Raw genomic sequence first — 24,588 nt, forward strand, 5'->3', positions numbered from 1 at the left:
GTAGGCCTCAGTGTCATCAAGGAGACTCTCCTTGACGTGCAGTCACGGCCATGATCCATCTTCAGAGCTTCTCTTTCTTCCCCAAGGTAAGTCTGTCAGCAGAGAACCCTGACCGCACCCTCATGTGTTTTCTCCCCCAGGAGGCGCTTGGAAACCACCGTGAATTGGACCGCACTGGGAAACACAGATGAGGAAAGTCAACAACGCTTTGTCCTTCAGTGCCTGGCTCCTTTTTCAGCTCCTCTTGCGACTCCAGGCATTATGCCTGAAAAGTCTCCCGGACGCCTGTGAGGCTCTAATTCCCTGGGTCCCATTGCCATGTCTCTGGATTTGCGAAGATCCACCGCACCTTCTGTGGAACTCCCGTGTCGGTGAACTTTAGTGCCACGGCCCCTAATTCTGCCCATGGTCATCCGCACCTGCACGACTTAGGGTCCATGTTCCTTGGACGGGAAGAGACAGGCAGGAGTCGGAATGATGAACCAGCACACTGGGGCATTTTCTCATGTAGCCCAAGTGACCCCATGGTCTTCTCGAGCTTTGGAACCAGTCGCGTCCCCTTTGACACTGCACCCGGCTCCCAGTCTCTCAATCTTGTTGGCCCTCCGGCGATCTCCCGTTGGATGAATTGCTCCTGCTGAAACTCGAGTCCCCTTTGATTTGCGCTTCATTAATTATTCATGATTCAGGTTGGAAGGCCTGCTGACGACCCCCTGTGGCCGTTCTCTGAGCTTTCCTGTCACATCGTTTCCTTCCACGCTCTTTGGTTCCTTATGGTCCTGCTCCTTCTGCTGTCAGAGGAGCAGAGAGTTGATCTTATTCATTCTGGATACGGATACTTTCTAGTTGATCTGGATAATCAAGATAACGACCCACAACAGCGGCGGAGAGGGAGCAGCCAGTTGGTGTGTCTCAGAAAATCCCACTGAGTTCCGAGGCCTCCTAGATGTGGAATCCTGCTGAGAGTTGTTCCCAGGTCAGAGAATGGAGAGAGCCTGTGCATGATGGGATATCCCCGCCTAGATCTTTCAGTGAGTCTCTGCCTCAGCTACTCTTAGGATCAGGGGGAGAACCATGGTGTCAGACATCCAGAAAGAAGACGGGATGAATGTTTTACCTCTGAGGTACATCCCAAATGTGGGAGTTAACTTCAGCTTTGCTGGGGTCTATTTGGCCAGTGAAACGCTGCCTGGTTCATTCGCACATCCGGAAGCCACTTCACGGGGGGCCGTCGCAACTGGAACCACACACTTGGCATCGGCGGTTGAGCCAAATGGGGACTCGTGGTGCAAGCAACGCTCCCCACGTGTTAGCGTGCGTGAGATGCGGTTGGCGGAATTTTACTAGGTGCGTGTTGGTAGAGTGGGGCTGAGGTTTTCTTGCTCCTGTGGATGTATAGGAAGTCAAAGGTCCTGCCCAGCCCTGCGGTCCCCTCAGTCAACTCTGTTTCGGAGACGTAACGATTTGGATTGCCAACAAGTCAAGAAATGTTCAAGCCCTTGGATGTAGGGTAAAGAAAGAGAGATCAGACTGTCACTGTGTCTATGTAGAAGGGGAAGACATAAGAGACTCCATTTTGAAAAAGACCTGTAGTTTAAACAATTGCTTTGCTGAGATGTTGATCATTTGTAGCTTTGCCGCAGCCCCTTCCTTTGACCCAACTTGGAGCTCACAAAAACCTGTGTTGTATAAAATCGAGGTTTAAGGGATCTAGGGCTGTGCAGGACGCGCCTTGTTAACCAAATGTTTACGAGCAGTATCCTTGGTAGGAGTCATTGCCATTCCCTAGTCTCAATAAACCAGGGGCGCAATGCACCGTGGAAAGCCACAGGGACCTCTGCCCTTGAAAGCAGGGTATTGTCCAAGGTTTCTCCCCATGTGACAGTCTGAAATATGGCCTCGTGGGATGGGAAAGTCCTGAATGTCCCCCAGCCTGACACCCGCAATGGGTCTGTGCTGAGGTGGATTAGTCAAAGAGGAACGCCTCTTGCAATTCAGATGGAGGAAGGCCACTGTCTCCTGCTTGCCCCTGGGAACTGAATGTCTCGGTGTAAAGCCCGATCGTACATTTGTTCAACTCTGAGCTCGGCGAAAAGCTGCCCTGTGGCGGGAGGCGAGACATGCTGGCAGTAATGCTGCCTTGTTATTCTTTACTCCGCTGAGATATTTGTGTGGAGAGAAACATAAATCTGGCCTACGTGCACGTCCAGGCATAGTACCTTCCCTTGAACTTAATAATGATATGGATTCTTTTGCTCACGTGTTTGTTTTTTGTTGTTGTTGTTGACCTTCCCCTTATTATCACCCTGCTCCCCTACTGCATTCCTTTGTGCTGAAATAATGAAAATCATAATCAATAAAAACTGAGGGAACTCAGAGGCCGGTGCCGGTGCAGGTCCTAGGTGTGCTGAGTGCCTGTCCCCTGGACCCACTGTTGTCTCCCTATACTTTGTCTCTGTGTCTGATTTCTTTTCTCCGTCTCTCATCCCACCCGACTAGAAACACCCACAGGTGTGGAGGGGCGGGCCACCCCTTCACTTGGAAAATCAGTTACACACAAACACGGAATGAGAGTCAAAAGACAATATGTCATCTTTTTGAGAATTTTATTCACTTCAAAACACATTAAACACACATATGTACAAAGGCATTCCAGAGCCCAGTTTTCGAGGCTGAGGAAAGACCCCGAGAGCGCTTCGCACAGCACGCTTCCCAGCGTCCGAAACACTGCTCTCAGGGCGGGGCACAGCGGAAGGGCTGCACCTCTCAGGGTTCCCTAACTTTTCCCTTATTCAGTCATCTAGACAGCAAATACACAGTAATTCCCCAGTTTCCTATTGACGTCCCAGCGGAAGTCTGACTCCTGCGCGTCACGCAGTTTCTGAGGCAACGAATCTCTGGCACGGAAGCTTTTCCTGGCGCGTTTCGGGAGAACCACGCCAACTACAACGTCCCTCACCAGAATTCAATGAGGCAGAGTCCCTGCATCTGCTCCCTGCCTGGCCTGGGCTCCCACATCCACAGAAGCGCCACAGCCGGGGAGCTTCGGAGTCACCGCACAGAGTGTGCTCTCTGCTCTGCGCTCCTCAGTCCCACAGTCCCCTCCAAGTCACGGGAGCTGGAGGCCAAGGAGCCCCTGCCACCTGCAGTCTCACTCCAGGTCAGAATCGCTGTCCTCTGAGGAGGAGGAAACCTGAAGGTCCTCATAGAGGACGCTCGGTGGGACACGAACACAGGGAGCCTCAGACTTCTCTGACACATGAGGGCTCTGAGCGAGGAAGGCTCCCGGCTTCTCAGGAGAGTGAAATGAGGGGGCGGCCAGGAGGCTGGAGCTCCAGCGTCCGTTTTCCAGTCTCCGGAAGAGCACTCTGAGAGGCTGGGCCCCATCATGGCCGGCCGCTGGGTGATGGGACATGGTGCAGGCCTGGGCAGTAGGCAGGCAAGGTGTGCTGTGCGGAGGCTGCCGGTCGACGCTGGGCACCTGGGCCGGTGTCCTCCTGCCCATCTGGGGCGACGTACTTGGTCCAAGTTCGGTTGCGGCTGGCGGAGGTTGGAGATTCTCCGGGGCCCGCAGCTCACCTCCCTGGATGGCGCTTTCGGGGATCTGGAAGGGACCCAGTCTCGGTTTCTTGGGGAAGTTCAGGCAAGCCTGAATCGGAGCCTGGGCAGGTCTCTTGGCTCCTGGCCCGAAGCTGAGATTGGAGCCTAGGCCCAAGCTGTGTGTGGCGGCTGGCGGGCAGGGCTGTGAGGTCACCGCAGGACGTTTGTCTTGTGCCTGGGGTCTGACGGCCTGGAGCAGGCCGTGGGTTTTGGAGGCAGCCTGGGGAACTTCTCGGCAGCCACCCTCAGGGCTGCTGTGTGTCGGCTTCACCACGAGGAGAGGCTCGGGGCCCTGGTGCCTGAATGCAGGCTGAGGGATGTCGGCCGCAGCCCCTGTCTGTCTTTCCTTTGGTCCAAGACTTGAGGAGGAGCTCAGGCTGGCTTTTCTGAGGGGAGACAGTGAAGCCAAGACGGAGCCCCTGCCAGACATTTCGGTAGCTGAGCGATCAGCGAGGACAGGGTCCACGCGCGGCCTCTTACTGGTTGTGTGGACCGGCATTGGCCCGCTTGCAACCTGAAAGAGAGGAAACAACACAGGTTAGAAGTTCCACGGCATGGAGCCAACGTGAAAATCAAACATATCCAAAGACAAGGTGCACACGCCATGAAATTCTTAGTACAGTATCGACAGGCGGTCCTTGGAAGTAGGGACAGATCCCTCCACCTGAGTGCTGATCAGGACAAGACACATGAAAGGTGCGCTCTCGAGCTATGTGTAGCTGATCTAAGCACACCATTGTTCAAAAGATCGCGTCTTGGGCATTAACTGGATCAAAGCGCCTCCACTCAGCCTTCCATGAAGTGGAACGGACTAATGCCCTTCCCGAGGCAGGTTGGTGGCTCAAGGGTACTCGGGACGTCTTCTCTGAACACATGCATGTTCCTGGGTTTAGCCTTCTCCACGTTTGGGGCCTCTGAGGGACTAATTTCCTCATGCCGCTAGGAACGTGTTGTTGGCAGGCTTGCCATAATTGGACAGAAAGAAAGCCACAGGAAATACGGCATCTTCAGATGCCTTCGCCTGGAATCCAATTGACCTGGAAGGATTGTGGAGTCCCTGACCCCAAGAAGGCAAGAAAGAGGGGTTCCCCGATTTCCTCCCACAGACGGGAAGCTGAAAGGAAATCAACCAGGGTGACCTAGAGGAGAAAAGGACCAGGGGCCCGGGGTGACACTCACCCTCAGATGCTCAGAAGATTCCGTGGATCCTTTTCCATTCGGCAGCGGCTTCTCTGGAGGTTTCCCGGAAAACATGTGGAGGAGAGCCTTCCTCTGCGGGTCTTGTTGCCTGCAGAACAGAAAAAGGTCAGGCGGTGCCCCCTGGTTTTCCCCAGGAGACAGGGAGAACCCCGTCTGGGGCCCAGCCCCATTCCGTGTTTTGTGATACAGAAATGGACATCTGGTGCCCTTTCCGCCTCTGCACCTTCCCTCACGTGCCAACCTTCCCATCCTCCAGGTGGCCCTCTAGGCTTCCCGACTAAGGACTGTGATTTGGATTCCATCGCTTTTCCCGCTGTCGTGGGGAACCTGCACGAAGCGCCCCCGCCTCTCCCCGTCCCTGAATCTCCCAGAGCCCAAGGAGCTCCTGGGTGTGGAACCCCGGAGGACACGGAGCTCCGGCCTATTTCTCTGCAGCGCTCCTTCCCTGGCCCGGAGACGGAAAGGCACACGGTGTGCAGGTGCAGAGACACCATCTCCTTAGGAGGCAGCACCCTAAGAGTGGTGAAACCCTCCCACTGCTCACCTTGGTCTCTCTTCCTTCTCTCCCTTATCCTTGTTTCAGGGCCCCCGGGTTGGCTTCAGCCCGGGGCTTCCATGGTTTCAGGTTTTCCTTCCCTTCCTTTTTTCCCCAGGTCGCTGGAACCAGGGCTGCCTTCCAGCACTTCATGGGGCACCTGGTACTTCTGGCCGTGTGGCCAAAGGCCCCGCAGTTTTTGCACTTGAGCTGTGGGTGGAAAGGAAGTGATGTCAGTGAGTGAGCTGAAGCCACAGGCAGCGATCCCACGTCAACATTGGGACGGATTGTGAATTCAGAGCTGAATAAGGATTCCGAAGAGGGGACACCGGCATGGGGGCCGTTAAGTGCTGGGAGAGTTCGGATACGATGTTCCCTCGCAAAGCCCTTGTGACGGAGTAACTCTGAAAGGAAGGACTCAAGGTTCCAAGGGGCACGATGGTGAAGCCGATGTCAACAACGCAGCCAAACGTGGCTACACAGGACTCGAAGTAGAAAGGGAGGTTGCCCCCAAGAGTCTCTCAAGGGACCTATCGGGCCGGGGAGAAGGTCCCAAGCCACGCCCACCTTGGATGGGAAAAGCAACCTGGCTGGTGGTGACAGAACTCTTTGGAATCCAACCCAGTCTCTGAGGACCGTGGGACACCGCCTCCCCCCGTCCCCACCCCCACCCCGATACCCAAGAGATCCAGGGCTAGACTTACCCTGGGATCTTCTTCATCGGGCGGGGGAGACCTTGGCCCAACTGGGGCCCTCCGCTGCTTCTGGAGGGTCTGGGCTCTCACCAGTCTCTTGGCCCAAGATTTGGGGTCCCGACGTGCCATCATCTTCGTCTCCTGGGGGTTTTATGACCGCCTTTTTCAGGGGTGGACTGTTGGGCCACCTGAAACACACACAAACACACACATGTCGATGGTTAAGCACGTTGGATATTCACACACCCACAGGAAGCCACCTGCTAACTCCCTGCCTGTGTGGTCATGAGGAGACCTCACCACCAGTCGGTCAAATCTGTAGAACACAATGTGCTGTGCGCATCCTCGGATATTGTGTGTTCCTCTGCCATGACTACCTAGTCCAAGAGTAAACCCCACCTGCCACAGGGCCCGTGGCCTAGGTATGGGGGGTTGAGCTTTCAACCCCAAACAAACAACTGATTCTGGAGACTGGACTTAGGTCTCTCACGATTCACTCCGGTAGAAGACACGGTGATTCTATCTCCCTTGACGGACAGAATGATCGAAGACACAGGGCATGGCGTGTGCCACCCTTTGGCAGGTCTGCTTGAAGTCACGGATAAGGGATGCTTCCTGTGACAACTTGAATCGCTACTCTTGCCATTTCATTAGGCAACTTCCAAACACAAATTCATACAGAGAAGTTACCTTCCTCTCTACCGCACTAGCAGGTGATGGTCTTTCCTGTTCTATCTTTTGGCTTTAGCTCCAGCCCCTCTTTATTTATTTTCCTGGTATTTTACGCACACCACACGAATTCATCTGAACAAACGGGGGAAGAAGTGCCGTATCGTATCGACGTCTTACACGGCTGAAGGGCAAAACCCCCTTTTTTCCAAAGTCCTTTTTCCATTTACCCACCAATTCAGCATGCTGCAGTACATTTCTTTTCGCATTCCCATCTTGGTCTTCTCCCACACGTGGAGACGGATATGTTTTCTCGTTTTCTGTTCCAAGAATTACTAGTAACGAGAACACATCCTACCCCACCACCAAGCCCCAGTGTGATCGGTTTCTTTCCTCCTTTGTCTCTTCCTCCCCCCGCCCCCCCCCCGCCAAAACCACTCAGGGATTGCGTGAAACAAACAATTGTTCAGCGAAACTAACCTGAAATTACACGTCTACTTTCTTTCCCAGGCTGGCGCTGAGATGGGCAGGTGCTGCAGCAGCCCGGCTGGAAGCGATGCAGCATCCAGGACGACGGAGGAAGGGGCAGAGAGGGACCTCCGCTTTCCAGGCTGCCTTTTATACTGCCTCTGGTCACCTGACATGGAACGTACCCTAACCTAATCAGTTACCTGTACCTTAATTGCAATTAACTTAATCCAATTACATGACCTGGAAAGGTCTATCTGCACAGCCCACTCTAAGATCATGTCCACTGCTGACAGACATTCTAAAACCTACTTGTACAGCTGCAAGCTTTGAACAATAGATGTTCCCCGTCAGACATGTAACACTGGTGCCTGTACCCGTCTTCTTTTCCATCTTTTTTGTCGTTTAGTTTTGTTTTGTTTTAAAAAATGTGGTAAAATAGACACCTTTTAATTGGACCACATTTTGTCTATCTCGACGTAGGCCTCAGTGTCATCAAGGAGACTCTCCTTGACATGCAGTCACGGCCATGATCCATCTTCAGAGCTTCTCTTTCTTCCCCAAGGTAAGTCTGTCAGCAGAGAACCCTGACCGCACCCTCATGTGTTTTCTCCCCCAGGAGGCGCTTGGAAACCACCGTGAATTGGACCGCACTGGGAAACACAGATGAGGAAAGTCAACAACGCTTTGTCCTTCAGTGCCTGGCTCCTTTTTCAGCTCCTCTTGCGACTCCAGGCATTATGCCTGAAAAGTCTCCCGGACGCCTGTGAGGCTCTAATTCCCTGGGTCCCATTGCCATGTCTCTGGATTTGCGAAGATCCACCGCACCTTCTGTGGAACTCCCGTGTCGGTGAACTTTAGTGCCACGGCCCCTAATTCTGCCCATGGTCATCCGCACCTGCACGACTTAGGGTCCATGTTCCTTGGACGGGAAGAGACAGGCAGGAGTCGGAATGATGAACCAGCACACTGGGGCGTTTTCTCATGTAGCCCAAGTGACCCCATGGTCTTCTCGAGCTTTGGAACCAGTCGCGTCCCCTTTGACACTGCACCCGGCTCCCAGTCTCTCAATCTTGTTGGCCCTCCGGCGATCTCCCGTTGGATGAATTGCTCCTGCTGAAACTCGAGTCCCCTTTGATTTGCGCTTCATTAATTATTCATGATTCAGGTTGGAAGGCCTGCTGACGACCCCCTGTGGCCGTTCTCTGAGCTTTCCTGTCACATCGTTTCCTTCCACGCTCTTTGGTTCCTTATGGTCCTGCTCCTTCTGCTGTCAGAGGAGCAGAGAGTTGATCTTATTCATTCTGGATACGGATACTTTCTAGGTGATCTGGATAATCAAGATAACGACCCTCAACAGCGGCGGAAAGGGAGCAGCCAGTTGGTGTGTCTCAGAAAATCCCGCTGAGTTCCGAGGCCTCCTAGATGTGGAATCCTGCTGAGAGTTGGTCCCAGGTCAGAGAATGGAGAGAGCCTGTGCATGATGGGATATCCCCGCCTAGATCTTTTAGTGAGTCTCTGCCTCAGCTACTCTTAGGATCAGGGGGAGAACCATGGTGTCAGACATCCGGAAAGAAGACGGGATGAATGTTTTACCTCTGAAGTACATCCCAAATGTGGGAGTTAACTTCAGCTTTGCTGGGGTCTATTTGGCCAGTGAAACTCTGCCTGGTTCCTTCGCACATCCGGAAGCCACTTCACGGGGGGCCGTCGCAACTGGAACCACACACTTGGCATCGGCGGTTGAGCCAAATGGGGACTCGTGGTGCAAGCAACGCTCCCCACGTGTTAGCGTGCGTGAGATTCGGTTGGCGGAATTTTACTAGGTGCGTGTTGGTAGAGTGGGGCTGAGGTTTTCTTGCTCCTGTGGATGTATAGGAAGTCAAAGGTCCTGCCCAGCCCTGCGGTCCCCTCAGTCAACTCTGTTTCGGAGAGGTAACGATTTGGATTGCCAACAAATCAAGAAATGTTCAAGCCCTTGGATGTAGGGTAAAGAAAGAGAGATCGGACTGTCACTGTGTCTATGTAGAAGGGGAAGACATAAGAGACTCCATTTTGAAAAAGACCTGTACTTTAAACAATTGCTTCACTGAGATGTTGATCATTTGTAGCTTTGCCGCAGCCCCTTCCTTTGACCCAACTTGGAGCTCACAAAAACCTGTGTTGTATAAAATCGAGGTTTAAGGGATCTAGGGCTGTGCAGGACGCGCCTTGTTAACCAAATGTTTACGAGCAGTATACTTGGTAGAAGTCATTGCCATTCTCTAGTCTCAATAAACCAGGGGCGCAATGTACCGTGGAAAGCCACAGGGACCTCTGCCCTTGAAAGCAGGGTATTGTCCAAGGTTTCTCCCCATGTGACAGTCTGAAATATGGCCTCGTGGGATGGGAAAGTCCTGAATGTCCCCCAGCCTGACACCCGCAATGGGTCTGTGCTGAGGTGGATTAGTCAAAGAGGAACGCCTCTTGCAGTTCAAATGGAGGAAGGCCACTGTCTCCTGCTTGCCCCTGGGAACTGAATGTCTCGGTGTAAAGCCCGATCGTACATTTGTTCAACTCTGAGCTCGGAGAAAAGCTGCCCTGTGGCGGGAGGTGAGACATGTTGGCAGTAATGCTGCCTTGCTTTCTTTACTCCGCTGAGATATTTGTGTGGAGAGAAACATAAATCTGGCCTACGTGCACGTCCAGGCATAGTACCTTCCCTTGAACTTAATAATGATATGGATTCTTTTGCTCACGTGTTTGTTTTTTGTTGTTGTTGTTGACCTTCCCCTTATTATCACCCTGCTCCCCTACTGCATTCCTTTGTGCTGAAATAATGAAAATCATAATCAATAAAAACAGAGGGAACTCAGAGGCCGGTGCCGGTGCAGGTCCTAGGTGTGCTGAGTGCCTGTCCCCTGGACCCACTGTTGTCTCCCTATACTTTGTCTCTGTGTCTTATTTCTTTTCTCCGTCTCTCATCCCACCCGACTAGAAACACCCACAGGTGTGGAGGGGCAGGCCACCCCTTCACTTGGAAAATCAGTTACACACAAACACGGAATGAGAGTCAAAAGACAATATGTCATCTTTTTGAGAATTTTATTCACTTCAAAACACATTAAACACACATATGTACAAAGGCATTCCAGAGCCCAGTTTCCGAGGCTGAGGAAAGACCCCGAGAGCGCTTCGCACAGCACGCTTCCCAGCGTCCGAAACACTGCTCTCAGGGCGGGGCACAGCGGAAGGGCTGCACCTCTCAGGGTTCCCTAACTTTTCCCTTATTCAGTCATCTAGACAGCAAATACACAGTAATTCCCCAGTTTCCTATTGACGTCCCAGCGGAAGTCTGACTCCTGCGCGTCACGCAGTTTCTGAGGCAACGAATCTCTGTCACGGAAGCTTTTCCTGGCGCGTTTCGGGAGAACCACGCCAACTACAACGTCCCTCACCAGAATTCAATGAGGCAGAGTCCCTGCATCTGCTCCCTGCCTGGCCTGGGCTCCCACATCCACAGAAGCGCCACAGCCGGGGAGCTTCGGAGTCACCGCACAGAGTGTGCTCTCTGCTCTGCGCTCCTCAGTCCCACAGTCCCCTCCAAGTCACGGGAACTGGAGGCCAAGGAGCCCCTGCCACCTGCAGTCTCACTCCAGGTCAGAATCGCTGTCCTCTGAGGAGGAGGAAACCTGAAGGTCCTCATAGAGGACGCTCGGTGGGACACGAACACAGGGAGCCTCAGACTTCTCTGACACATGAGGGCTCTGAGCGAGGAAGGCTCCCGGCTTCTCAGGAGAGTGAAATGAGGGGGCCGCCAGGAGGCTGGAGCTCCAGCGTCCGTTTTCCAGTCTCCGGAAGAGCACTCTGAGAGGCTGGGCCCCATCATGGCCGGCCGCTGAGTGATGGGACATGGTGCAGGCCTGGGCAGTGGGCAGGCAAGGTCTGCTGTGCGGAGGCTGCCTGTCGACGCTGGGCACCTGGGCCGGTGTCCTCCTGCCCATCTGGGGCGACGTACTTGGTCCAAGTTCGGTTGCGGCTGGCGGAGGTTGGAGATTCTCCGGGGCCCCCAGCTCACCTCCCTGGATGGCGCTTTCGGGGATCTGGAAGGGACCCAGTCTCGGTTTCTTGGGGAAGTTCAGGCAAGCCTGAATCGGAGCCTGGGCAGGTTTCTTGGCTCCTGGCCCGAAGCTGAGATTGGAGCCTAGGCCCAAGCTGTGTGTGGCGGCTGGCGGGCAGGGCTGTGGGGTCACCGCAGGACGTTTGTCTTGTGCCTGGGGTCTGGAGGCCTGGAGCAGGCCGTGGGTTTTGGAGGCAGCCTGGGGAACTTCTTGGCAGCCACCCTCGGGGCGGCTGTGTGTCGGCTTCACCTCGAGAAGAGGCTCGGGGCCCTGGTGCCTGACTGCAGGCTGAGGCATGTCGGCCGCAGCCCCAGTCTGTCTTTCCTTTGGTCCAAGACTTGAGGAGGAGCTCAGGCTGGTTTTTCTGAGGGGAGACAGTGAAGCCAAGACGGAGCCCCTGCCAGACATTTCAGTTGCGGAGCGATCAGCGAGGACAGGGTCCAAGCGCGGCCTCTTACTGGTTGTGTGGACCGGCATTGGCCCGCTTGCAACCTGAAAGAGAGGAAACAACACAGGTTAGAAGTTCCTCAGCATGGAGCCAACGTGAAAATCAAGCACATCCAAAGACAAGGTGCACACGCCATGAAATTCTTAGTACAGTATCGACAGGCGGTCCTTGGAAGTAGGGACAGACCCTCCACCTGAGTGCTGATCAGGACAAGACACATGAAAGATGCGCTCTCGAGCTATGTGTAGCTGATCTAAGCACACCATTGTTCAAAAGATCGCGTCTTGGGCATTAACTGGATCAAAGCGCCTCCACTCAGCCTTCCATGAAGTGGAACGGACTAATGCCCTTCCCAAGGCAGGTTGCTGGCTCAAGGGTACTCGGGACGTCTTCTCTGAACACATGCCTGTTCCTGGGTTTCGCCTTCTCCACGTTTGGGGCCTCTGAGGGACTAATTTCCTCATGCCGCTAGGAACGTGTTGTTGGCAGGCTTGCCATAATTGGACAGAAAGAAAGCAACAGGAAATACGGCATGTTCAGATGCCTTCGCCTGGAATCCAATTGACCTGGAAGGATCGTGGAGTCCCTGACCCCAAGAAGGCAAGAAAGAGGGGTTCCCCGATTTCCTCCCGCAGACGGGAAGCTGAAAGGAAATCAACCAGGGTGACCTAGAGGAGAAAAAGACCAGGGGCCCGGGGTGACACTCGCCCTCAGATAATCAGAAGATTCCGTGGATCCTTTTCCATTTGGCAGCGGCTTCTCTGGAGGTTTCCCGGAAAACATGTGGAGGAGAGCCTTCCTCTGCGGGTCTTGTTGCCTGCAGAACAGAAGAAGGTCAGGCCGTGCCCCCTGGTTTTCCCCAGGAGACAGGGAGAACCCCGTCTGGGGCCCAGCCCCATTCCGTGTTTTGTGATACAGAAATGGACATCTGGTGCCCTTTCCGCCTCTGCACCTTCCCTCACGTGCCAACCTTCCCATCCTCCAGGTGGCCCTCTAGGCTTCCCAACTAAGGACTGTGATTTGGATTCCATCGCTTTTCCCGCTGTCGTGGGGAACCTGCACGAAGCGCCCCCGCCTCTCCCCGTCCCTGAATCTCCCAGAGCCCAAGGAGCTCCTGGGTGTGGAACCCCGGAGGACACGGAGCTCCGGCCTATTTCTCTGCAGCGTTCCTTCCCTGGCCCGGAGACGGAAAGGCACACGGTGTGCAGGTGCAGAGACACCATGTCCTTAGGAGGCCGTACCCTAAGAGTGGTGAAAACCCCTCCCACTGCTCACCTTGGTCTCTCTTCCTTCTCTCCCTTATCCTTGTTCAAGGGCCCCGGGTTGGCTTCAGCCCGGGGCTTCCATGGTTTCAGGTTTTCCTTCCCTTCCTTTTTCCCCAAGGTCGCTGGAACCAGGGCTGCCTTCCAGCACTTCATGGGGCACCTGGTACTTCTGGCCGTGTGGCCAAAGGCCCCGCAGTTTTTGCACTTGAGCTGTGGGTGGAAAGGAAGTGATGTCAGTGAGTGAGCTGAAGCCACAGGCAGCGATCCCACGTCAACATTGGGACGGATTGTGAATTCAGAGCTGAATAAGGATTCCAAAGAGGGGACACCGGCATGGGGGCCGTTAAGTGCTGGGAGACTTCGGATACGATGTTCCCTCGCAAAGCCCATGTGACGGAGGAACTCTGAAAGGAAGGACTCAAGGTTCCAAGGGGCACGATGGTGAAGCCGATGTCAACAACGCAGCCAAACGTGGCTACACAGGACTCTAAGTAGAAAGGGAGGTTGCCCCCAAGAGTCTCTCAAGGGACCTATCGGGCCGGGGAGAAGGTCCCAAGCCACGCCCACCTTGGATGGGAAAAGCAACCTGGCTGGTGGTGACAGAACTCTTTGGAATCCAACCCAGTCTCTGAGGACCGTGGGACACCCCCTTCCCCCCGTCCCCACCCCCACCCCGATACCCAAGAGATCCAGGGCTAGACTTACCCTGGGATCTTCTTCATCGGGCGGGGGAGCCCTTGGCCCAACTCGGGCCCTCCGCTGCTTCTGGAGGGTCTGGGCTCTCACCAGTCTCTTGGCCCAAGATTTGGGGTCCCGACGTGCCATCATCTTCGTCTCCTGGGGGTTTTATGACCGCCTTTTTCAGGGGTGGACTGTTGGGCCACCTGAAACACACACAAACACACACATGTCGATGGTTAAGCACGTTGGATATTCACACACCCACAGGAAGCCACCTGCTAACTCCCTGCCTGTGTGGTCACGAGGAGACCTCACCACCAGTCGGTCAAATCTGTAGAACACAATGTGCTGTGCGCATCCTCGGATATTGTGTGTTCCTCTGCCATGACTACCTAGTCCAAGAGTAAACCCCACCTGCCACAGGGCCCGTGGCCTAGGTATGGGGGGTTGAGCTTTCAACCCCAAACAAACAACTGATTCTGGAGACTGGACTTAGGTCTCTCACGATTCACTCCGGTAGAAGACACGGTGATTCTATCTCCCTTGACGGACAGAATGATCGAAGACACAGGGCATGGCGTGTGCCACCCTTTGGCAGGTCTGCTTGAAGTCACGGATAAGGGATGCTTCCTGTGACAACTTGAATCGCTACTCTTGCCATTTCATTAGGCAACTTCCAAACACAAATTCATACAGAGAAGTTACCTTCCTCTCTACCGCACTAGCAGGTGATGGTCTTTCCTGTTCTATCTTTTGGCTTTAGCTCCAGCCCCTCTTTATTTATTTTCCTGGTATTTTACGCACACCACACGAATTCATCTGAACAAACGGGGAAGAAGTGCCGTATCGTATCGACGTCTTACACGGCTGAAGGGCAAAACCCCCTTTTTTCCAAAGTCCTTTTTCCATTTACCCACCAATTCAGCATGCTGCAGTACATTTCTTTTCGCATTCCCATCTTGGTCTTCTCCCACACGTGGAGACGGATATGTTTTCTCGTTTTCTGTTCCAAGAATTACTAGTAACGAGAACACATCCTACCCCACCAGCAAGCCCCAGTGTGATCGGTTTCTTTCGGCCTCCTTTGTCTCTTCCTCCCCCCGCCCCCCCCCCGCCAAAACCACTCAGGGATTGCGTGAAACAAACAATTGTTCAGCGAAACTAACCTGAAATTACACGTCTACTTTCTTTCCCAGGCTGGCGCTGAGATGGGCAGGTGCTGCAGCAGCCCGGCTGGAAGCGATGCAGCATCCAGGACGACGGAGGAAGGGGCAGAGAGGGACCTCCGCTTTCCAGGCTGCCTTTTATACTGCCTCTGGTCACCTGACATGGAACGTACCCTAACCTAATCAGTTACCTGTACCTTAATTGCAATTAACTTAATCCAATTACATGACCTGGAAAGGTCTATCTGCACAGCCCACTCTAAGATCATGTCCACTGCTGACAGACATTCTAAAACCTACTTGTACAGCTGCAAGCTTTGAACAATAGATGTTCCCCGTCAGACATGTAACACTGGTGCCTGTACCCCTGTCTTCTTTTCCATCTTTTTTGTTGTTTTGTTTTGTTTTGTTTTAAAAAATGTGGTAAAATAGACACCTTTTAATTGGACCACATTTTGTCTATCTCGACGTAGGCCTCAGTGTCATCAAGGAGACTCTCCTTGACATGCAGTCACGGCCATGATCCATCTTCAGAGCTTCTCTTTCTTCCCCAAGGTAAGTCTGTCAGCAGAGAACCCTGACCGCACCCTCATGTGTTTTCTCCCCCAGGAGGCGCTTGGAAACCACCGTAAATTGGACCACACTGGGAAACACAGATGAGGAAAGTCAACAACGCTTTGTCCTTCAGTGCCTGGCTCCTTTTTCAGCTCGTCTTGCGACTCCAGGCATTATGCCTGAAAAGTCTCCCGGACGCCTGTGAGGCTCTAATTCCCTGGGTCCCATTGCCATGTCTCTGGATTTGCGAAGATCCACCGCACCTTCTGTGGAACTCCCGTGTCGGTGAACTTTTGTGCCACGGCCCCTAATTCTGCCCATGGTCATCCACACCTGCACGACTTAGGTTCCATGTTCCTTGGACGGGAAGAGACAGGCAGGAGTCGGAATGATGAACCAGCACACTGGGGCGTTTTCTCATGTAGCCCAAGTGACCCCATGGTCTTCTCGAGCTTTGGAACCAGTCGCGTCCCCTTTGACACTGCACCCGGCTCCCAGTCACTCAATCTTGTTGGCCCTCAGGCGATCTCCCGTTGGATGAAATGCTCCTGCTGAAACTCGAGTCCCCTTTGATTTGCCTTCATTAATTATTCATGATTCAGGTTGGAAGGCCTGCTGACGACCCCCTGTGGCCGTTCTCTGAGCTTTCCTGTCACATCGTTTCCTTCCACGCTCTTTGGTTCCTTACGGTCCTGCTCCTTCTGCTGTCAGAGGAGCAGAGAGTTGATCTTATTCATTCTGGATACGGATACTTTCTAGTTGATCTGGATAATCAAGATAACGACCCTCAACAGCGGCGGAGAGGGAGCAGCCAGTTGGTGTGTCTCAGAAAATCCCGCTGAGTTCCGAGGCCTCCTAGATGTGGAATCTTACTGAGAGTTGTTCCCAGGTCAGAGAATGGAGAGAGCCTGTGCATGATGGGATATCCCCGCCTAGATCTTTTAGTGAGTCTCTGCCTCAGCTACTCTTAGGATCAGGGGGAGAACCATGGTGTCAGACATCCGGAAAGAAGACGGGATGAATGTTTTACCTCTGAAGTACATCCCAAATGTGGGAGTTAACTTCAGCTTTGCTGGGGTCTATTTGGCCAGTGAAACTCTGCCTGGTTCCTTCGCACATCCGGAAGCCACTTCACGGGGGGCCGTCGCAACTGGAACCACACACTTGGCATCGGCGGTTGAGCCAAATGGGGACTCGTGGTGCAAGCAACGCTCCCCACGTGTTAGCGTGCGTGAGATTCGGTTGGCGGAATTTTACTAGGTGTGTGTTGGTAGAGTGGGGCTGAGGTTTTCTTGCTCCTGTGGATGTATAGGAAGTCAAAGGTCCTGCCCAGCCCTGCGGTCCCCTCAGTCAACTCTGTTTTGGAGACGTAACGATTTGGATTGCCAACAAATCAAGAAATGTTCAAGCCCTTGGATGTAGGGTAAAGAAAGAGAGATCAGACTGTCACTGTGTCTATGTAGAAGGGGAAGACATAAGAGACTCCATTTTGAAAAAGACCTGTACTTTAAACAATTGCTTTACTGAGATGTTGATCATTTGTAGCTTTGCCGCAGCCCCTTCCTTTGACCCAACTTGGAGCTCACAAAAACCTGTGTTGTATAAAATCGAGGTTTAAGGGATCTAGGGCTGTGCAGGACGCGCCTTGTTAACCAAATGTTTACGAGCAGTATACTTGGTAGAAGTCATTGCCATTCTCTAGTCTCAATAAACCAGGGGCGCAATGTACCGTGGAAAGCCACAGGGACCTCTGCCCTTGAAAGCAGGGTATTGTCCAAGGTTTCTCCCCATGTGACAGTCTGAAATATGACCTCGTGGGATGGGAAAGTCCTGAATGTCCCCCAGCCTGACACCCGCAATGGGTCTGTGCTGAGGTGGATTAGTCAAAGAGGAACGCCTCTTGCAGTTCAAATGGAGGAAGGCCACTGTCTCCTGCTTGCCCCTGGGAACTGAATGTCTCGGTGTAAAGCCCGATCGTACATTTGTTCAACTCTGAGCTCGGAGAAAAGCTGCCCTGTGGCGGGAGGTGAGACATGTTGGCAGTAATGCTGCCTTGCTTTCTTTACTCCGCTGAGATATTTGTGTGGAGAGAAACATAAATCTGGCCTACATGCACGTCCAGGCATAGTACCTTCCCTTGAACTTAATAATGATATGGATTCTTTTGCTCACGTGTTTGTTTTTTGTTGTTGTTGTTGACCTTCCCCTTATTATCACCCTGCTCCCCTACTGCATTCCTTTGTGCTGAAATAATGAAAATCATAATCAATAAAAACAGAGGGAACTCAGAGGCCGGTGCCGGTGCAGGTCCTAGGTGTGCTGAGTGCCTGTCCCCTGGACCCACTGTTGTCTCCCTATACTTTGTCTCTGTGTCTTATTTCTTTTCTCCGTCTCTCATCCCACCCGACTAGAAACACCCACAGGTGTGGAGGGGCAGGCCACCCCTTCACTTGGAAAATCAGTTACACACAAACACGGAATGAGAGTCAAAAGACAATATGTCATCTTTTTGAGAATTTTATTCACTTCAAAACACATTAAACACACATATGTACAAAGGCATTCCAGAGCCCAGTTTTCGAGGCTGAGGAAAGACCCCGAGAGCGCTTCGCACAGCACGCTTACCAGCGTCCGAAACACTGCTCTCAGGGCGGGGCACAGCGGAAGGGCTGCACCTCTCAGGGTTCCCTAACTTTTCCCTTATTCAGTCATCTAGACAGCAAATACACAGTAATTCCCCAGTTTCCTATTGACGTCCCAGCGGAAGTCTGACTCCTGCGCGTCACGCAGTTTCTGAGGCAACGAATCTCTGTCACGGAAGCTTTTCCTGGCGCGTTTCGGGAGAACCACGCCAACTACAACGTCCCTCACCAGAATTCAATGAGGCAGAGTCCCTGCATCTGCTCCCTGCCTGGCCTGGGCTCCCACATCCACAGAAGCGCCACAGCCGGGGAGCTTCGGAGTCACCGCACAGAGTGTGCTCTCTGCTCTGCGCTCCTCAGTCCCACAGTCCCCTCCAAGTCACGGGAACTGGAGGCCAAGGAGCCCCTGCCACCTGCAGTCTCACTCCAGGTCAGAATCGCTGTCCTCTGAGGAGGAGGAAACCTGAAGGTCCTCATAGAGGACGCTCGGTGGGACACGAACACAGGGAGCCTCAGACTTCTCTGACACATGAGGGCTCTGAGCGAGGAAGGCTCCCGGCTTCTCAGGAGAGTGAAATGAGGGGGCCGCCAGGAGGCTGGAGCTCCAGCGTCCGTTTTCCAGTCTCCGGAAGAGCACTCTGAGAGGCTGGGCCCCATCATGGCTGGCCGCTGGGTGATGGGACATGGTGCAGGCCTGGGCAGTAGGCAGGCAAGGTCTGCTGTGCGGAGGCTGCCGGTCGACGCTGGGCACCTGGGCCGGTGTCCTCCTGCCCATCTGGGGCGACGTACTTGGTCCAAGTTCGGTTGCGGCTGGCGGAGGTTGGAGATTCTCCGGGGCCCCCAGCTCACCTCCCTGGATGGCGCTTTCGGGGATCTGGAAGGGACCCAGTCTCGGTTTCTTGGGGAAGTTCAGGCAAGCCTGAATCGGAGCCTGGGCAGGTCTCTTGGCTCCTGGCCCGAAGCTGAGATTGGAGCCTAGGCCCAAGCTGTGTGTGGCGGCTGGCGGGCAGGGCTGTGGGGTCACCGCAGGACGTTTGTCTTGTGCCTGGGGTCTGGCGGCCTGGAGCAGGCCGTGGGTTTTGGAGGCAGCCTGGGGAACTTCTCGGCAGCCACCCTCGGGGCGGCTGTGTGTCGGCTTCACCACGAGGAGAGGCTCGCGGCCCTGGTGCCTGACTGCAGGCTGAGGCATGTCGGCCGCAGCCCCAGTCTGTCTTTCCTTTGGTCCAAGACTTGAGGAGGAGCTCAGGCTGGCTTTTCTGAGGGGAGACAGTGAAGCCAAGACGGAGCCCCTGCCAGACATTTCGGTTGCGGAGCGATCAGCGAGGACAGGGTCCAAGCGCGGCCTCTTACTGGTTGTGTGGACCGGCATTGGCCCGCTTGCAACCTGAAAGAGAGGAAACAACACAGGTTAGAAGTTCCTCAGCATGGAGCCAACGTGAAAATCAAGCACATCCAAAGACAAGGTGCACACGCCATGAAATTCTTAGTACAGTATCGACAGGCGGTCCTTGGAAGTAGGGACAGACCCTCCACCTGAGTGCTGATCAGGACAAGACACATGAAAGATGCGCTCTCGAGCTATGTGTAGCTGATCTAAGCACACCATTGTTCAAAAGATCGCGTCTTGGGCATTAACTGGATCAAAGCGCCTCCACTCAGCCTTCCATGAAGTGGAACGGACTAATGCCCTTCCCAAGGCAGGTTGCTGGCTCAAGGGTACTCGGGACGTCTTCTCTGAACACATGCATGTTCCTGGGTTTCGCCTTCTCCACGTTTGGGGCCTCTGAGGGACTAATTTCCTCATGCCGCTAGGAACGTGTTGTTGGCAGGCTTGCCATAATTGGACAGAAAGAAAGCAACAGGAAATACGGCATGTTCAGATGCCTTCGCCTGGAATCCAATTGACCTGGAAGGATCGTGGAGTCCCTGACCCCAAGAAGGCAAGAAAGAGGGGTTCCCCGATTTCCTCCCGCAGACGGGAAGCTGAAAGGAAATCAACCAGGGTGACCTAGAGGAGAAAAAGACCAGGGGCCCGGGGTGACACTCGCCCTCAGATAATCAGAAGATTCCGTGGATCCTTTTCCATTCGGCAGCGGCTTCTCTGGAGGTTTCCCGGAAAACATGTGGAGGAGAGCCTTCCTCTGCGGGTCTTGTTGCCTGCAGAACAGAAGAAGGTCAGGCCGTGCCCCCTGGTTTTCCCCAGGAGACAGGGAGAACCCCGTCTGGGGCCCAGCCCCATTCCGTGTTTTGTGATACAGAAATGGACATCTGGTGCCCTTTCCGCCTCTGCACCTTCCCTCACGTGCCAACCTTCCCATCCTCCAGGTGGCCCTCTAGGCTTCCCAACTAAGGACTGTGATTTGGATTCCATCGCTTTTCCCGCTGTCGTGGGGAACCTGCACGAAGCGCCCCCGCCTCTCCCCGTCCCTGAATCTCCCAGAGCCCAAGGAGCTCCTGGGTATGGAACCCCGGAGGACACGGAGCTCCGGCCTATTTCTCTGCAGCGTTCCTTCCCTGGCCCGGAGACGGAAAGGCACACGGTGTGCAGGTGCAGAGACACCATGTCCTTAGGAGGCCGTACCCTAAGAGTGGTGAAAACCCCTCCCACTGCTCACCTTGGTCTCTCTTCCTTCTCTCCCTTATCCTTGTTCAAGGGCCCCGGGTTGGCTTCAGCCCGGGGCTTCCATGGTTTCAGGTTTTCCTTCCCTTCCTTTTTCCCCAAGGTCGCTGGAACCAGGGCTGCCTTCCAGCACTTCATGGGGCACCTGGTACTTCTGGCCGTGTGGCCAAAGGCCCCGCAGTTTTTGCACTTGAGCTGTGGGTGGAAAGGAAGTGATGTCAGTGAGTGAGCTGAAGCCACAGGCAGCGATCCCACGTCAACATTGGGACGGATTGTGAATTCAGAGCTGAATAAGGATTCCAAAGAGGGGACACCGGCATGGGGGCCGTTAAGTGCTGGGAGACTTCGGATACGATGTTCCCTCGCAAAGCCCATGTGACGGAGGAACTCTGAAAGGAAGGACTCAAGGTTCCAAGGGGCACGATGGTGAAGCCGATGTCAACAACGCAGCCAAACGTGGCTACACAGGAACCTAAGTAGAAAGGGAGGTTGCCCCCAAGAGTCTCTCAAGGGACCTATCGGGCCGGGGAGAAGGTCCCAAGCCACGCCCACCTTGGATGGGAAAAGCAACCTGGCTGGTGGTGACAGAACTCTTTGGAATCCAACCCAGTCTCTGAGGACCGTGGGACACGCCTCCCCCCGTCCCCACCCCCACCCCGATACCCAAGAGATCCAGGGCTAGACTTACCCTGGGATCTTCTTCATCGGGCGGGGGAGACCTTGGCCCAACTGGGGCCCTCCGCTGCTTCTGGAGGGTCTGGGCTCTCACCAGTCTCTTGGCCCAAGATTTGGGGTCCCGACGTGCCATCATCTTCGTCTCCTGGGGGTTTTATGACCGCCTTTTTCAGGGGTGGACTGTTGGGCCACCTGAAACACACACAAACACACACATGTCGATGGTTAAGCACGTTGGATATTCACACACCCACAGGAAGCCACCTGCTAACTCCCTGCCTGTGTGGTCATGAGGAGACCTCACCACCAGTCGGTCAAATCTGTAGAACACAATGTGCTGTGCGCATCCTCGGATATTGTGTGTTCCTCTGCCATGACTACCTAGTCCAAGAGTAAACCCCACCTGCCACAGGGCCCGTGGCCTAGGTATGGGGGGTTGAGCTTTCAACCCCAAACAAACAACTGATTCTGGAGACTGGACTTAGGTCTCTCACGATTCACTCCGGTAGAAGACACGGTGATTCTATCTCCCTTGACGGACAGAATGATCGAAGACACAGGGCATGGCGTGTGCCACCCTTTGGCAGGTCTGCTTGAAGTCACGGATAAGGGATGCTTCCTGTGACAACTTGAATCGCTACTCTTGCCATTTCATTAGGCAACTTCCAAACACAAATTCATACAGAGAAGTTACCTTCCTCTCTACCGCACTAGCAGGTGATGGTCTTTCCTGTTCTATCTTTTGGCTTTAGCTCCAGCCCCTCTTTATTTATTTTCCTGGTATTTTACGCACACCACACGAATTCATCTGAACAAACGGGGAAGAAGTGCCGTATCGTATCGACGTCTTACACGGCTGAAGGGCAAAACCCCCTTTTTTCCAAAGTCCTTTTTCCATTTACCCACCAATTCAGCATGCTGCAGTACATTTCTTTTCGCATTCCCATCTTGGTCTTCTCCCACACGTGGAGACGGATATGTTTTCTCGTTTTCTGTTCCAAGAATTACTAGTAACGAGAACACATCCTACCCCACCAGCAAGCCCCAGTGTGATCGGTTTCTTTCGGCCTCCTTTGTCTCTTCCTCCCCCACACCCCCCGCAAATACCCCTCAGGGATTGCGTGAAACAAACAATTGTTCAGCGAAACTAACCTGAAATTACACGTCTACTTTCTTTCCCAGGCTGGCGCTGAGATGGGCAGGTGCTGCAGCAGCCCGGCTGGAAGCGATGCAGCATCCAGGACGACGGAGGAAGGGGCAGAGAGGGACCTCCGCTTTCCAGGCTGCCTTTTATACTGCCTCTGGTCACCTGACATGGAACGTACCCTAACCTAATCAGTTACCTGTACCTTAATTGCAATTAACTTAATCCAATTACATGACCTGGAAAGGTCTATCTGCACAGCCCACTCTAAGATCATGTCCACTGCTGACAGACATTCTAAAACCTACTTGTACAGCTGCAAGCTTTGAACAATAGATGTTCCCCGTCAGACATGTAACACTGGTGCCTGTACCCCTGTCTTCTTTTCCATCTTTTTTGTTGTTTTGTTTTGTTTTGTTTTAAAAAATGTGGTAAAATAGACACCTTTTAATTGGACCACATTTTGTCTATCTCGACGTATGCCTCAGTGTCATCAAGGAGACTCTCCTTGACATGCAGTCACGGCCATGATCCATCTTCAGAGCTTCTCTTTCTTCCCCAAGTTAAGTCTGTCAGCAGAGAACCCTGACCGCACCCTCTTGTGTTTTCTCCCCCAGGAGGCGCTTGGAAACAACCGTGAATTGGACCGCACTGGGAAACACAGATGAGGAAAGTCAACAACGCTTTGTCCTTCAGTGCCTGGCTCCTTTTTCAGCTCGTCTTGCGACTCCAGGCATTATGCCTGAAAAGTCTCCCGGACGCCTGTGAGGCTCTAATTCCCTGGGTCCCATTGCCATGTCTCTGGATTTGCGAAGATCCACCGCACCTTCTGTGGAACTCCCGTGTCGGTGAACTTTTGTGCCACGGCCCCTAATTCTGCCCATGGTCATCCGCACCTGCACGACTTAGGGTCCATGTTCCTTGGACGGGAAGAGACAGGCAGGAGTCGGAATGATGAACCAGCACACTGGGGCGTTTTCTCATGTAGCCCAAGTGACCCCATGGTCTTCTCGAGCTTTGGAACCAGTCGCGTCCCCTTTGACACTGCACCCGGCTCCCAGTCACTCAATCTTGTTGGCCCTCCGGCGATCTCCCGTTGGATGAATTGCTCCTGCTGAAACTCGAGTCCCCTTTGATTTGCGCTCCATTAATTATTCATGATTCAGGTTGGAAGGCCTGCTGAAGACCCCCTGTGGCCGTTCTCTGAGCTTTCCTGTCACATCGTTTCCTTCCACGCTCTTTGGTTCCTTACGGTCCTGCTCCTTCTGCTGTCAGAGGAGCAGAGAGTTGATCTTATTCATTCTGGATACGGATACTTTCTAGTTGATCTGGATAATCAAGATAACGACCCTCAACAGCGGCGGAAAGGGAGCAGCCAGTTGGTGTGTCTCAGAAAATCCCGCTGAGTTCCGAGGCCTCCTAGATGTGGAATCCTGCTGAGAGTTGGTCCCAGGTCAGAGAATGGAGAGAGCCTGTGCATGATGGGATATCCCCGCCTAGATCTTTCAGTGAGTCTCTGCCTCAGCTACTCTTAGGATCAGGGGGAGAACCATGGTGTCAGACATCCGGAAAGAAGACGGGATGAATGTTTTACCTCTGAAGTACATCCCAAATGTGGGAGTTAACTTCAGCTTTGCTGGGGTCTATTTGGCCAGTGAAACTCTGCCTGGTTCCTTCGCACATCCGGAAGCCACTTCACGGGGGGCCGTCGCAACTGGAACCACACACTTGGCATCGGCGGTTGAGCCAAATGGGGACTTGTGGTGCAAGCAACGCTCCCCACGTGTTAGCGTGCGTGAGATTCGGTTGGCGGAATTTTACTAGGTGCGTGTTGGTAGAGTGGGGCTGAGGTTTTCTTGCTCCTGTGGATGTATAGGAAGTCAAAGGTCCTGCCCAGCCCTGCGGTCCCCTCAGTCAACTCTGTTTCGGAGACGTAACGATTTGGATTGCCAACAAGTCAAGAAATGTTCAAGCCCTTGGATGTAGGGTAAAGAAAGAGAGATCAGACTGTCACTGTGTCTATGTAGAAGGGGAAGACATAAGAGACTCCATTTTGAAAAAGACCTGTACTTTAAACAATTGCTTTGCTGAGATGTTGTTCATTTGTTGCCTTGCCTCATCCACT

The 24,588-nt window shown here is 53.6% G+C and overlaps 3 protein-coding genes, 1 long non-coding RNA gene and 1 pseudogene across 6 annotated transcripts; 1 reads left to right on the forward strand and 4 right to left on the reverse strand.

Annotated features, from left to right (window-relative positions):
• Window positions 1–44: 44 nt before the first annotated feature.
• LOC105377800 (uncharacterized) lies at window positions 45–22,932 on the forward strand. 3 transcript variants are annotated; one of them, XR_001745779.1, is made up of 4 exons: window positions 45–86; window positions 7,210–7,344; window positions 7,651–7,732; window positions 15,301–15,451. It is a non-coding gene; the product is annotated as an uncharacterized LOC105377800 (long non-coding RNA). The 3 variants fall into 3 exon arrangements; XR_001745781.3 differs by lacking the exons at window positions 45–86; window positions 7,210–7,344 and adding an exon at window positions 22,502–22,932 and having other exon boundaries at window positions 7,655–7,732; window positions 15,301–15,382; XR_001745780.1 differs by lacking the exons at window positions 45–86; window positions 7,210–7,344; window positions 15,301–15,451 and adding an exon at window positions 14,858–15,294 and having other exon boundaries at window positions 7,645–7,732.
• FAM90A21P (family with sequence similarity 90 member A21, pseudogene) lies at window positions 2,590–7,821 on the reverse strand (annotated as a pseudogene).
• LOC128966594 (putative protein FAM90A9P) lies at window positions 3,152–6,162 on the reverse strand. Its single transcript, NM_001421901.1, is given in 5 exon segments — window positions 3,152–4,114; window positions 4,780–4,888; window positions 5,345–5,377; window positions 5,379–5,545; window positions 6,040–6,162. Coding segments are annotated over 5 exon segments (1,395 nt in total).
• Window positions 10,797–13,808, reverse strand: FAM90A22 (family with sequence similarity 90 member A22). Its single transcript, NM_001397382.1, has 4 exons — window positions 13,686–13,808; window positions 12,991–13,190; window positions 12,424–12,532; window positions 10,797–11,759 (listed from the first exon to the last, which is right to left on the reverse strand). Exons 1-4 carry the CDS (start codon window positions 13,806–13,808, stop codon window positions 10,797–10,799), a joined length of 1,395 nt encoding a protein of 464 aa, NP_001384311.1.
• On the reverse strand, window positions 18,446–21,455 carry FAM90A23 (family with sequence similarity 90 member A23). Its single transcript, NM_001397380.1, has 4 exons — window positions 21,333–21,455; window positions 20,640–20,839; window positions 20,073–20,181; window positions 18,446–19,408 (listed from the first exon to the last, which is right to left on the reverse strand). The coding sequence occupies exons 1-4, from the start codon at window positions 21,453–21,455 to the stop codon at window positions 18,446–18,448; spliced, it is 1,395 nt and encodes a 464-aa protein (NP_001384309.1).

The sequence above is a fragment of the Homo sapiens genome, chromosome 8, assembly GCF_000001405.40.
Source record: "Homo sapiens chromosome 8, GRCh38.p14 Primary Assembly".
NCBI classification, from domain to species: domain Eukaryota; kingdom Metazoa; phylum Chordata; class Mammalia; order Primates; family Hominidae; genus Homo; species Homo sapiens.